We start from the raw sequence: 15,113 nt of genomic DNA, 5'->3' as shown, positions 1-15,113 counted from the left end.
ACTCTCCTAATATATGAGAACTTGGAGAGTGATTTATTTCCCAAAGGATCCCAGGCAGCAAAAGTCTCAGACCAAGGGGTCCAGGTATGCACACATGACAGAGAAGCCAGCTGCAGCTGGTTAGGGAAAAGCTGGGTTCTAAAACCACTTCGGGACTCAGCCCAAGACAGACCAGTCCCTGGACTGCAAGCTCACTTATTTATTCAAAGAATATTTACCAAACAGCTGCACTGTGTCAGGAACTGAGAGACAACAAAACATACTCCTGGGCCCTGGAGGAGCTCAAAGTCAAGCAGAAAAAACAGGCACGAATCTTCCTAATGAATTTGCTGAGTGCTGTAGTGAAAGTAAACACAGCCTGCAGTGGGAACACAGAGGCAGCAGAAACTACAGCTCATGTGTGAAGATGGGTGTAAGTGTGTTGAAGAAAGGAGCCAAGATAACGAATACGTATACAAAGTGTCCCGTATGTGTCAGGCATTATTATAAAATGCTTTACACACATCAAGTCATTTCATTGTTGAGGGAGTAGTATTGTATTATTATCATTTTACAGATGAAGAAACTGAGGCTCAGAGATATTAAGTAACTTCCTCGAAGTCCCACAGCTAGTAAGTGACAGGGTCACAATTCAAACCTTTTTGCACTGCCTCCAGAGCCTGTGCCTTGCTGCCTCTCAAGGGAAGGTTAGAAATAGACCTAAAAGGTCACTCTCAAAAGATGGCTCAGGGACAAAATGCACCTTGGAGTTCATCTAGTTCAAGTGCCACATGGGCTGGGAACATCTGGGCTAATGACTTCAAAAATCTTGAGTTCCCAGATTGTTCTGAGCCCTCTGAAACTGCAGGAGTATCCCACTCTTCTCTATTAAGGGTTAACATCCCTAGGACAAAATTAATGGGCAGCCAGCAATGATACTAGTCAATCTGAAATAAAAAGAAATCAAGGATGAATGATGAGGAAACTGAGGGCTGTCACCTCAGTGAAAAGTCATGATCTCTTGCCCCGTTTACAGATATGACCCAGTCTGTGGTCCTGGAATCTATTAATTGAAAGAGTGGTTGGGTCCTTAGAAGGAAGGTCCTGTAACATTATAGAAAATATATCCAGTAATGATTCCTCCAGTCCTTCTCCAAAGAAACACATGGCCATTTGCCACAGATACACTGAAGAAAGGGGACTACCCAGATATTTTGAGGTCTGTCGAACACTTGACATTGATAACTGGAGACATAAAACATCATCACGACCCTCCTGTTAGAGTGAGGGCATATGGGAACCAGGTAATAAATGGAGGTGAGCTGCCCTAAGTCTGGCTCACAGTGGGCCCACTGGATCCATAGACCAATCCTATAGTCATGCTCACAGTCCTCAAATGTATAACTGGATATACATACGCCTACATTGATTGCTTGGATTGTGGGTAAAGTCAAGTGGAGGCCTCTGAAAAGGCACCCCCACACACATCCTATTCAAAATAGTTATTCAAAAGCAATGTAGCTTCCTGGGGAAATGGCAGAAATTAGTGCTACCCTTAAAAACCTAAAGTCTATAGGGTTGGTGAACCCCACCTTATTTCAATTCACCAATCTGACCCCTTCAAAAACAAGACAGATCCTGAAGGATAGCAGTGGATGACTGCTACCCAAGCAAGCTCAAATCCAAATGCAGCTGCTGTGCCAGATGTGGTATCTTTGCTAAAGCAGATTAACCTGGCCTTGGATACATGGAATGCAGCCACTGATCTGGTGAAGGCATTGTCTTCCATTTCTATCAGAAAAGAGGATCAGAAATGCCCAACACTGTATATTTACCCTCTTCACTGAGGGATATGTTAACTCTCCCATCCTCTGTCATAATATGGTCCAAAAAAAAACTGGACTGTCTGGACATCTTTGGACAGAATGTCATACTGGTCCAATACATGGATGACTTTACGCTAATTCAATTGGATAAACAAGGTAGTGGCTAGTACATTGCAGGCCTAGGTGTAAGCCACATGCAACTCTTGAAGAATAGGAGATAATAATCTATGAATATCTATAAGCCTGATAAAGATTCAGGAACCCATCACATCAGTAAAAATTTTAGGTGTTCAGTGGTCCAAGGAATGCTACAGCATCCCTTCCAAAATAAATAATAAATTATTGCATTTTGCACATTCTTCTAACAAAGAAGGCCAGAAACGCCTTGTTCCAGTGATGGATACCAAAGACACATTCAACTCTCTCCTCACACATAAGGGTCAGTAGAGTAGACAATGCAAATATTCTTAAAAGCACTCCCACTCAGAAAGGGCTAGCAGTAATCTGACTATAAACAGAAGGACTGCAAGCCACCTCATCCAAATGTATCTGTAACTCACTTCCCCCTACCAGGATCCCAAAAGGCTTCTGCTGCTCCAACACCACCCAACACAAGAGGAAGTTAGAGTGCACATTTTTCTTTAAAAGTCTGTCCAAGTGAACAAACACATTGCTAGGGCCCCTCCCAGGTCCTTGGAAGGGGACTGTACAAGTGAAGGGGCCTGGGGATTAAGCATTGTTAGTTTCTAGGTCCGTTCACTCATGGCTGGAAGCCAGGAGAATGAGCATGGAAGTGGGACTGGAGGAGGGTGGTGTCAGGCCAAGGCTGGAGCTGGACAAGAGTGCTTAAGGTTTAATGCACTATCCAGAACGTCTTTTCTATTCCTCTATAAATGTTTTCACCCTATGACAATTGCCAAGGGCTTTTTGTTTGTTTATTTTATCAAACTAGGTTCCATCAAATACTCTTGTAATTAGGAACAGTTGGTGAAGTGCAGGCGCTGGGAGAGGAGCCGACTCTCCATCCTCATCCAAAATGAGAGTCATGGAGACCAAGAGTTTGGCTCCTTAGCTGCTGCTCTGGGTGGGAATTAGAAATATCTGGACATTCTTGCCATGGCCTAAAATTCAAGAGCTCTAGACCAAGGCATGGGAGCTTGCTGCTTCAGCTTTCCTCATCTGCAAATCGATGATAATTACTAGTTAGTGACTGCTAGATGAATGGCACTATTGAACTGCAAAATATTAGTATTATTGCTTTTCCTCTTTGATCTCATGGGGCAAGATAAATTTATGACATCATAATTGTTTCTATGGCAGCAAATCATATTGTCCCAAACAGGGGACTTCATGACTTCATGGCTGGATTGAGAAAAAGAAGAAATCAGATTGGGAGTGAGAATTTTGCTCAAACATAAATATCTTCAATGCTGCACGGGGAATAGAGCAAATTACAGACTGGCAAAATTGCTTTTGCTTTAAATGTTCTTCTCACAAGTTTATCCCAGTGCAAAAGCCCCTTTCCAGGCATGTAATTTGTGTAATGATGCCTCCTTGCTTGAATTCACAGAAGGCTAATGGTGAAGCTCATCTATTTCAGGGAACACTTCAGCAATGTTAATACTAATTGTTTTGCAGCAAATATCTGGGTTTCTGCTGTAAGCAGTTTTGTTTGGCTTTTCTATTTGTTTGTGTGTGTTTTTACTCCCTCAATGTTTTATCTCTACAAATATATTTGAAATAAACCAATTTCCAGAAAAAAATTCAGTTTTTATCATCTGAAAATCTGTCAAGAACTCTCTCTCCTCGCTAGAAGCATCTGCTTTGTCTCACTTAGGTTCCTATTGACTTTATTTTCACATTTCTGGAGTCTATTGTTAGTTTCTGTTTATTGCCTGAAAAGAGCACAAAATGCCTAACTTTGAAGCCATTTAAATTCACCTCAGTTTCATTTAACCATACACCACAAACAATGACTTGGGATTTTAAACTCTAGAGATCTCTCTCCTCCTCCTCCTGTGCTCTCTCTCTCTCTCTCTCTCTCTCACCTCCCTCCCTGTTTTTCTCCCCACTCCCTCTACCTTCTTCCCTTCTCTTTCTCTCTCTCCTTTCTCTTCCCTCTCTTCTCTCCCTCTCTCTTTCCTTTTCTTTATATAAAAACATTTCCAGTACCTTCTACCAGTGATCTCCTCCTCTCATCCTTTTAACCCTAAAATTTCCAGAACCTGCAAGTTCCTGCTGATTCATAAACTTCTTGCCAAGGACCTCACCCAGGAGCACCACATGGCATCAGTTTTCCACGCACCCTGGAAATTCACTGCTTCTTATCCAGGCCTCTCAGTGACCCTTCTCTGCTTTTACTCTGAAAACTCCATCTGTTGAATTTCTCACTATGACTCCATCAGTAAGTGCAATGAGATGGTCAGTTTTATGTGTCAGCTTGGGTAGACCATAGTACCCAGTTATTTAATCAAACATTAATCTAGGTGTTGCTGGGAAGGTATTTTGTAGATGTGGTTAACATCTACAGTCAGTTGACTTGGAAGTAAATGAAATGGCCTTTAATAATGTAGGTGGGTCTCATCCAATCATTTGAAGGCCTAAAAAGCAAAAACTGAGGTTTCCCAAAGAAGAAATTCTGCCCTAATACTGACACATCAACTCCCACTTGAGTTTCCAGCTTACCACCTGCCCCACAGATTTAGCACTTGCCACATCCCCATAATCACATTAGCAAATTCATTAAAATAAGTGTGTGTGTGTGCGCGCGCACTTGTGTGTGTGCACGCGCACGTGTGTATGTGTGTCTCAGAAGAACCCTGACTGGCACACACATAACAACTAAACTACGTGTATTTGTTACAATGATGTGCTGAACACTATGGCATGGGAAGTATAAAGAATGCATAAGATGTCCATTTCCCCTAAAGAGCTTACAACTCATGGGAGAACCAAGATTAACTGTGCCTGAAACAACAACAACTTGTTAAAAATTATAAACATAGGGTTTAGATGTTTTGTGTAGACACCCAGGAGCTCAGCAGAAAGAAAGTCCAGTGAAAGCTGGAGGAGTCAGGGACCATTTCATGGAAAAAGTGGGTGTTGAGCTGACATGCCCTTGCTTCACCCTACGGTCAATTTTACTTCCTAGGAGAGGCCCTCATTTCAGAACCCTGGGATCCTCCTCTCTCCAGCTTCTTCTCCATGCTCCTACACTCCACCAACAGAACAATCTCTTATGACACCAGTTTCATGCAAGTTTAGATTGAGGAGTGATATGGTTTGGATTCATGTCCTGGCCCAAATCTCATGTCAAATTGGAGGAGGGGACTGGTGCGAGGTGATTAGACCATGGGGGCAGATTTCCCCCTTGCTGTTCCCATGATAGTGAGTGAGTTCTCATGAGATCTGATTGCTTAAAAGTGTGTGGCACCTCTCCACCTCTGCCATGGAAGACATGCTGGCTTCCCCTTTGCCTTCTGCCATGATTGTAAGTTTCCTGAGACCTCCTACCCATGCTTCCTGTACAGCCTGTGGAACTGTGAGTCAATTAAACCTCTTTTCTTCATAAATTACCCAGTCTCAGGAAGTTCTTTATAGCAGTGTGAGAATGGACTACTATAAGACGTCAAGAAATCTGCTTATCTGGATCTGTCACTAACTTGCCCTGGGTGCTTGGGTAAGGTACTTGAACTTCAGTCAACCTCCAAGATCTCTAGATCTCTAAATTCTAGGATTTCTTTCTACCACATCAAGCCTACACAATCCACCCAGTGTTTGTTGGGACTCTCCATAGTCCATTCTCGGTCTGCCTCTCCAAAACCTTGCTTTCCAACCTCTCCAGATGCTCCCTGCCCTGGCCAGTCTGGTCACCTCACTGTCTCAGAGCCAGACTGTACTGATTCCCACCCTTGTGCCTTTGTCTACATTAGTTCATTGTCATGCTGCTGATAATGACATACCCAAGACTGGGTAATTATTACAGGAAAACGGGTTTATTGGACTTACAGTTCCACATGGCTGGGGAAGCCTCACAATCATGGTGGAAGGGAAGGAGGAGCAAGTTACATCTTACATGGATGGCAGCAGGCAAAGAGAGAGCATGTGCAGGGGAACTCCCACTTATAAAATCATCAGATCTCATGAGACTTATTCACTATCACAAGAACAGCAGAGGAAAGCCCTGCCCCCATGATTCAATTACCTTCCACTGGGTCCCTCCCGCAACACATGGGAATTCAAGATGGGATTTGGGTGGGGACACAGCCAAACTATATTACATGGCCTTTCTTGCCTGGTGCCTTCTGAACTGTGCAATGCCTGTGCAAATCCCCATATCCCCGCTATGCCAGCTCAACACTCACTTTTTCCATGAAATGGTCCCTGACTCCTCCAACTTTCACTGGCCTTTCTTTCTGCTGAGCTCCTGGGTGTCTACACAAAACATCTAAACCCCATGTTTATAATTTTTAACAAGTTGTTTTTGTTTCAGGCACAGTTAATCTTGGTTCTCCCATGAGTTGTAAGTTCTTTGGGGGAAATGGACATCTTATGCATTCTTTATACTTCCCATGGCATAGTGCTAACATAAATCCAACAATTTTATCTCTACCGCACACTTTCTCATGCCTCTGCAGCATTTGGCAGTGCCAAGAACTCCTTCCTGAACTGCTGTCCATGTCTTCTCCGACACTCTCTCCTTCCTTCCCTCTTGACACTCCTTCTCTGGATCTCCCTCATCTGCCACATCAGTGTAGGCGTTTCACAAGGAATGTCTTCTCTTCCCTTATTAGAAACATCCTGGCAATCATCATTGATCTGTTGCCCTTAACTCTCACCTTGGTTGGGGAGAAAATTGTTTCGTACAGGTCTGCCTGTGGTCATGATTTCCAGGCATGTATGTTAACTCCTTACTGGAGCTGTGAACTTTCCACCTGGATATCCCACCAGCACCTCTAACTCACTGGGACTGAAATTAAACACATCCCTTTTCTTCCCAAATCTGATTATCTCCTCCTCCCTATTTCTGACTTGGAGATCAGATACTTGGGTCCAGCGTCTCAGCATTTGTTTGTTACCATTTCTTCTTCTTCACTCTCCATGTTCAACCAGATGCTAAGCTCTGTTCATTCTCCCTCACCAATATCTCCTCCACCTCCCTGTGCCTGCATTTCCACTGCTACTTCTGCTGCCCACATTTAGGCTGCAATGTTCTGTAGCCTAGCTGATGATCCTCTTTTTATTTCCCCTCTGCAACCCATTTAGAGGCTATGACTAGATTAACATTCCTGAAACACAGCTCTGATGCATTATTTATCTGATCAATATTTTTAAATCTCTTCCCAGTGCCTTCAACATGAAACTAAAAGTCCCTGACCTCTCTCTTCCACCTTGCTTCCCATTCTTCTCCCTCATGCACTCTAGGACCCATCTGAACTCAGCTCTGACTCTTCCCCTCACCAGGCCTGGTTGTCTTGCTTCTGGGGTGTTCTGTTCATGCCATTCCCCCTATCCGAAAGGCCTTCCTCCCCTGGGATCTGCTTGTCCAAATACCACCTGATTTTCAAGGCCCATCTCAAATATTCCCTGTTCCCTGAAGTCTTCTCTAATCCAAGTGAAAGTATTTTTCCCTCTTTTACATTCTCATAAACCCTAACTTTAGACTAATTATTTTCTGCCTTAAATTATAATTCCTGAACATGGTTTTCTTCTCAGCCTAGATTACAAACTCCCTGAGGGAAAAATAGGAAACTTTATACCACACCTTCCCTAGGTATTTAGCATTGTGTTTTGCAATAAATACATATTTCCTTAATTAATACATTCTGAAGGAAGAACCCGTAGGACTTGGTGTTTACTGGGGAAAAAAACATAAATAGAGGAATAAAAAGAACTTGAAAGTTTTGAAGTTTAGCTGAGCAGAAGGGAAATCATGACACTGGTAGGGATAGTGACTCCGATGGGTAAAGCAATTTGGGAGTTTAGGTGACAGTAAGGCATCTCAAAGGAAACGGCCACCAGGCAGCTAGAAATATGAGACTAGCAGGGAGCATAGATGTGAGACATACAGCTCTGAGAATCCATATGATCCCCAATGAATAAAGTGGAGAAAGAGAAAAGTATGTGTTAAGAACCTGAGCCTTGAAAAATAAGAGTATGGAAAACAAAGAAACCACAACATAAGAGCTAGAGAAAAGAACTAAGATTGTGAAGAGGACAGCATTTCCAGAAAGAGATGTCAACAATGTTAAATATAGACACTCACTGAACTGATGTTTACTGAGCACCTACTAGGTGCCTGGTTCTTTTGGATGTACTGGAAATAGAATGGCCAGGAAAGTCCTCACCATGGAGTTGACATTGAAGAAGAATGCTGGACACGACGGAGCAGGCCATGCAAATATCTGGAGAACATGTGTTCCAGGCAAGGGACAGCATGTTAGCTTCCTATGGTTTCCATGGCTGGATATAGTGTGAATCTCTGGCTTTTGATGGTCAACTCTAAGGGCGGCTCCTGCAGTGCTCTCTGTAACTTATTGGCTTTCACACATGGATGAGGGATTAGGTCTTTGTGATTTTCTATGCTCAGGGGCCCTATATGGGAACCACGTTGGTATTTACGGGTTTTTTTTTTTAATGGTGAGTTTATGGCTGGATCCTTGAGGACTACTTTGGACACTGTCTGATTCTTCTCTGCTTCTTCAGCACTGATTGTAGTAAACGGTGCTCAATATGTGTTCAACCATTGTGGACCATTTTTAAATGGACTATCAAAGGGAGACAAAACTGGACACTAAAGTGGAAAGGGCCTATTTTAAACATTAATAACAATTGCAATAGAGAAAAGAGTCCAGTGTGAACTGAACTCATCCTTGATTTGCAGATGTGGCTGGATATTTCAAAATGGGATTGAGGGAGTAGAGGCTCAGTAGAGTCAGAGAAGTGAAAAATTACAAAAAGTGAGAAGGAGGTGTTGATCCACGTGAAACCCACCTGGATTTGCTAATTGGCACTTATTGAAATTAGATTCCTACCCTACTACAGAGATTGGGTGACTGGGACCCTGTCTTTAGGTGTTGGCAGGAACAAACAGTAAATTCTTTTAGTAGCCTTGAGTTCTCTCAGGCAGGTGCTTTATGGGGGCTAGGGTCATCTGAGGGGTGCAGCTTTGAGTTTTTTGATACTTTGTTAGTGTTTGTTCAAGTGTTTATAGATCAAGGTCGAGCCCCAGTAGAGAAGAGGGCTCAGGGGAGTCTGCTAGTTTGGTCAAGAAGAGAATCTTTGTGGGGACAATGGTTGTTGCTAAAAGAAACTAGGACAAGTCTAATAGAAATTGTATAAAGGGTATTCACATGTAATATACTTCTTGCTTCTGATGTGTACATTTTCATAACTCTGAAAATGTCTCTGTAAGTTTGTGTATTGATAGGGCACGTGGATTAGGCCCTGAGAGTTAAGGCCCTTTAAGCAAATGCTTGGGTCCTTGATCTAATACTACTGGGAGGAGGAAGCACAGGTGAAATTGAGAAAGCCCCAAGCACCATTATGTGCTCATAGCTTAAAACACAACAGCAAAACATGGAGCATTTCTATGTTGAAGCTTGGTTAAAAGGCAACGGCAGGCCAAACCCAGTTATTACAGCAAATATGTACTGCAAATCTATCTGCCTTCAATTGGTTGAAGTTACAGGAAAATATATTCCCTCATTCCCTAACCCCCCAAACCCCTTGCAAAACACATCCCACAAATTCCCATCCCCAACAGCAAAGTCATGGGCCATGAACTGCGATGTTAGCCTTTCTCTAAAGAATCTGCTCCTGGCTCCTGACAGAGTTTGGAAGTCATCCTCTGGCCCCATTCTTCGCTGGGAATGAGCGCCATCAGCCTGTGCACACACTTGGCCTGCACATCACCCTGGAGACTCAGAACCTGGCTTCAGAAGAGTGGGAGGGGCAGAAGACGGAAGCAGAAAGCAGGGGCGAGGGCAAGAACCCCCTGGAGCTGATTGCTGCTCTGTGAACGCACCAAGGTCAGGGGAAGGAAATCTTCAATAGTCGACAGCCTCAGGTAGAAATGGAGAGCTGGCCACCTCTAGGGAGCGGCTGTCAGTGAAGAAGGGTGAGCGGGAACCCCTGACCTCCTCACAGCGCCCGGAGACATTGCTCTTCTCTCCTACTCTCCTGTCCGCTATTTCAACCACACACACACACACACACACACACCCTGCAGTAAAAGAGTTGATGCTTTCCTATGGGAACTCTCTGGTTGAAATCCTAAAGGCAAGTGAAAGGGCTTTTTAAAACCAATCCCAATGATCCGTTTGAGGGAAAAGAAATAAGGCAATGTTTGGAATAGCATCTCCAGCACTGATGGGAGTAAGTGGTACCAATGAAGTGAAATCCTCAGCTGTCAGTCCTGGGCTTCTCTACCAGGGGAAACAATGAGAAATGTTTTTTGTTACCTCGCCTTTGTTCGTTGGAAATTTGATCAGAATTCCCATGTCTGCTATTTTCCTTCTGTACGCTTAACCAAATGCAAAGTCTCAGGCTCACGCTAGAGGTCGCTGTTGATCACATCCGAACCTCACCTCCCAACGCAGGCAGGAGAGGCAGGCTCACCGCCGCACGTCTTCACTGCAGTGGGAACAGCCTGCAGGCTTTGGTGGCAGGAAGATCAGTTTGGCCACACCCGGTTCAGGTACAGCGCATCGGCCTGCGAGGACGTTGCTTTTTATTTCACAGACAAAAGTATAAAACGAGGATAAAGCAGATAATTAAAGGTGCTTCAAATTAATTTGAATTTTTTTAAGTACTGCATAATTTATGACGTTTCAACACTTCCCTTCCCCTCCCTGTCTGACCCCCCAACCATATCACTTCTTCCCCCACTTCCATTAAGCAGTTTGAGGAGTGTACAATATGAAGGACTTGAATAAAAGCCCAGGCTTAAATATGGACCATACCTGCAGTTAGCCGCTATCACTGACACCACTGGGCTTGTATCCTTCCCAGCTGGTTCTACGCCCAGAATATAAAACAGCTAAGAAATAAAATGACAAGACAACAGGGCCGATAACATTGTAAGCAATTACAGCCTCTCTTGATGCTGAGAATCCTAAAGACGCCACCCAAAAAGCAGTATTCTAATCGAAGGCCATTATTAATGAACCAGATCTCTGCTTGGCTGACTCCTATTCTTCCTCTCCTAATTATATTCATCTGCTCCTTCTTTGGTCCTAACTTTGGAAATTGCTTTCAGCACAGACCAATCCCAAAGGCGAGCTGGAAGCCAGAGCTGAAATAAAAGTCGGCGGTATTATCATTTTGAGGCAAGTCACGAAGTATTTATTGTTTGCTGCATTTCCACTTCTGCCCTTGACTCTAGACCCAAAGTAGAATTGCAGTGGTGATGCAGTGACATCATACACGCAGACACCGGTGCAAAGCAGTGTCTCATTCAACATTAAGATTGTGGCACTGACGGCAAGGCTTAGAAAAATTCCCAAAAGATAGGGTCCAGAGCACTGGTGTCAACTAAAAAAGGTTTATTGGTAAAGAGTGTGGCTTTGACAACCCCCGACATGGGAAGAGAGCAGAGGCTGCAACAGCCTAGCAGGGGCCAGGATGCAGCCACGACCGTGGCTTCTGTGAGGAGGCTTATTACATGAAAGCAGCCGAGAACTTATTACGAGAGGCAGCCTACACTTGGGTCCCAGGCGGAGGTGCTGTCACTGAGTAGGATGAGAGGAAAGGAACCTCTAACAGTGTTATAGCAGGAGGGACATGGCATAGGTGTAGTTTAGAGGGAAGGAATCTGACTGTACATATTTATTTATTTATTTATTTAGAAGGAGTCTCTCTCTCTTGCCCAGGGTGGAGGGCAGTGGTGCGATCTCAGCTCACTGCAACCTTTGCCTCCCAGGTGCAAACTTTGCCTCCCAGATTCAACCTGGGAGGTACAACCTCAGCCTCCCAAGTAGCTGGGATTACAGGCACCCACCACCGTGCCTGGCCTAACTTTTGTATTTTTAATAGAGGGGTGTTTCACCATGTTGCCCAGGCTGGTCTTGAATTGCCGACCTCAGGTGATCCACCTGCCCCAGCCTCCCAAAGTGCTGGGATTACCGGCGTGACCCACTGTGCCCAGCCCACCTTTTTAATATTGTGGTAAAATATACTGCTATGTTCTGAATGTTTGTGCTTCCCCCAGATTCATATGTTGAAACCTGATCCTCCAATGTGATGGCATTAATTTGGGGAGGTGACTCAGTCATGAGGGCAGAGCCTTCATGAATGGGATTAGTGCCCATATAAAAGAAGCCAGAGGGAGCTTGTTGTCCTTCTGCCATGTGAGGACACATAAAAGGCATTGTTTATGAGGAATAGGCCCTCATCAGACACCAGATCTGTAGGTGCCTTGATCCTGGACTTCCCAGCCCCTAGAACTGAGGCTGTTCTGAGAGCAATAAATTTCTATCATTTATAAAATGCCCATTCTAAGGTATTTTGTTATAGCAGCCCAAACTAAGACATATATATATATATATACACACACACATATATATATTATAAAATTTACTATTTTCATCATTTTTAAGTGTACAATTCAGTGGCATTAAGTAGATTCACAATGTTGTGCAACCATCACCACCACCCATCTTCAGAACTTTTTTATTATCCCAGACTGGAACTCTGTAGCCGTTAAGCACTAATTCCCCATTTTCCCCTCTTCTCACTTCTTGGCAACCACCAGTCTGCTTTCTGTCTCTGTGAGTTTGACTATTCTACGTACCTCATAAAAGCGGAGTCATACAATATTTGTCCTTCGGTGTCTGATTTATTTCACTTAGCATCATGTTTTCAAGGTTCATTCATGTTGTGGCATGTCAGAACTTCATTCCTTCTTAAGGCTGAGTGATAGCCCATTGTCTGTATATACTACATTTTGTTTATCCATTCATCTGTCAGTGGCCATTTAGGTTGTTTCCACGTTTTGCATAGTGTGAATAATGCTGCTGTACATACTGGTGTGCAAGTATTTGAGTTCCCGATTTCAGTTCTTTGGGGTATATGCCTAGGAGTGGAATTGCTGGATCGATAGGGTAATTCTGTGTTTCACTTGTTGAGGAACTACCCAACTGTCTTCCACAGTAGCCACATCATTTTACGTTCCCATCAGCAAAGCACAAACGTCCCAATTTCTCCACGTCCTTGACCACACTTGTTATTCTCCTTTTGTGTGTGTGTGATAATAGCATTTTAATGGATATGATATGGCATCTCATTGTGGGTTTGATTTGCATTTCCCTAATGACTAGAGATATTGAACATCTTTTCATGTGCTTGTTGGCTATTTGCATATTTTCTTTGGAGAAAATACCCATTCAAGTCCTTTGACCATTTTGAATAGCCATAACACTTTTAAACAGAATGCTTCTGTCCTGACTCAGCCACTTCCTTGCTGTGTGACCCTAAGCTAGTTACATAATTTCTCTGTGCCTCAACTCCTTCATCCCCAAGATAGAAATAGTAGTATCTATCTCATAGGATTGTATGAGGATTAAATGAGTTTGTATCTGTAAATTATATTGAATAGTGCAATAGTAGACACTCAACTAATGTTAGATTTATCTCTACATAAGGTGGCTTAAGAGGGGAGAGAATGGGTGTAAGGGAGCAGTGAGGAGACAGTTTCCTGCCACCAGTATTGATGGGAATGGCCTCGGAGATCTTCTGGACCAGAGCCTTTATATTACAGGAAAGGAAAGAGATAAAAAGATAACTCCTATGCCCAGTATCAAGAGGGACCCTTAACACCACCTCTCCAATGTCCAATACTCTTTTCACCACACTTAGATCTTTCTCTCCTCTAACTTCTGCTTAAGACTGAAACCTCGTGTTAATGTCCTCATGGGATATGACTTGAACATCTTCAAAACCACCTTGACAACCTGTATTGGCATCACAAGCTTGTATCAATGGGCTTGCAAAAAGTTGTGATTTCTGAGGATCAGAGTGGTAGCTGGTGTGAGCAAGAGGCAGTGAGTGTTGCCTCCAAAGTGTCCTTTGGGAGAAAACAAGCCCCAGTCTCTCCTCAGTGTTCAGCCTCTCTAACTTTGCAGTCAGTGTGACAGGTTCTTAATGACCTGCTCCCACCTTCCCCTGTTACCTCCTACATACGCGGGAGAAACCAATTAGAGTAGTGACTTGGGACTACGAGACCATCTGTCTCAGAGAGACCACTCTTAGGACCCCCACAAAGCACCCCAGTGTGCAGACAGCCTCACTCACTTCAGACGATGCTCTTAACTGAACAGAACCCTGCTTATCTTTGTGCAACTCCAATTATTCTTGCCTGCCAGCAGGTGTAATAATGCTAACTGCCTCTCAGCCCCCACGTGGCAGGTGCCACAGAAATAAGTGGATAAATGGACAGAAAATGAACCGAAGCTACACAGTCTGCCAAAGGCTTTCACAGCCCCTTGGAAACAGAACACCTGGCTTCACTGTCTTGTGAATCAATATGGCCTTTTCTTATAGTACCTAAAGCTGAAATTCATCTCCAATTCCTTAAACTGTCCTTCTCCAGGAGCAGAATTCATTTACCATCTGCTTTACAAGAATCTGGACACTCTATGTTTCTATCTTATTATAGATTCAGCTAATATGATTTCTCCCATCCACTATCCCTAAACAACACAACATGTGCTTTGTCTTTGACTAAGCCCCACAGCCTTCTCTCCATACAGGGTGCTTTCTGATGATTCACATCAAATTTCCTGTTTGGTTTCCTTTATGGGTGCATGGCTCCTAATGTTTTTACCCATCTTCTCATGGCGCATCCGGCCCAGGAAGCTTTACTGCGCTTGTTAGTTTAGCAGCTGTGCTTCTCCACTGAGGCTACCCCAGGTGGGAGGCAGCTGGAGAAGGACAGGATAAGAAATTGGAGATGAACTTCATTGTTGTTGTTGTTATTGTTGCTCATGCTGTTGTTTTAGAGACAAGGTCTCACTCTCTCGCCTAGGCTGGAGTGCAGTGGTGTGACCATAGCTCACTCCAGCCTCAAACTCCTGGCCTCAAGGGATCTTCCTACCTCAGTCTGCTGAGAAGCTGGGACTACAGGTGCACACCAACACACCCAGCCAATTTCGTTTTAACTTTTTGTAGAGACAGAGTCTCACTATATTGCCCATGCTGGTCTCAAACTCCTGGCTTCAAATGATCCTCCTGCCTTCCAAAGTGCTAGGATCACAGGCATGAGCCACCACACCCAGCCAACAATGTTTGGATTATTTTTTTCTTCCCTAT

The 15,113-nt window shown here is 43.8% G+C and overlaps 1 annotated feature.

Moving 5' to 3' along the window:
• Positions 14,552-14,701: an enhancer, noted in NCBI's record as "active region_24958". NCBI's record gives its function as "activates an Ori minimal core promoter by ATAC-STARR-seq in GM12878 lymphoblastoid cells {active_cell/tissue: GM12878}" and the evidence as "EXISTENCE:reporter gene assay evidence [ECO:0000049][PMID:35858748]".

This window comes from Homo sapiens, chromosome 6 (assembly GCF_000001405.40).
Source record: "Homo sapiens chromosome 6, GRCh38.p14 Primary Assembly".
Taxonomy (NCBI): domain Eukaryota; kingdom Metazoa; phylum Chordata; class Mammalia; order Primates; family Hominidae; genus Homo; species Homo sapiens.
The sequence above is the reverse complement of the archived record's forward strand: the minus strand, read 5'-3'. Positions and strand labels throughout refer to the sequence as shown.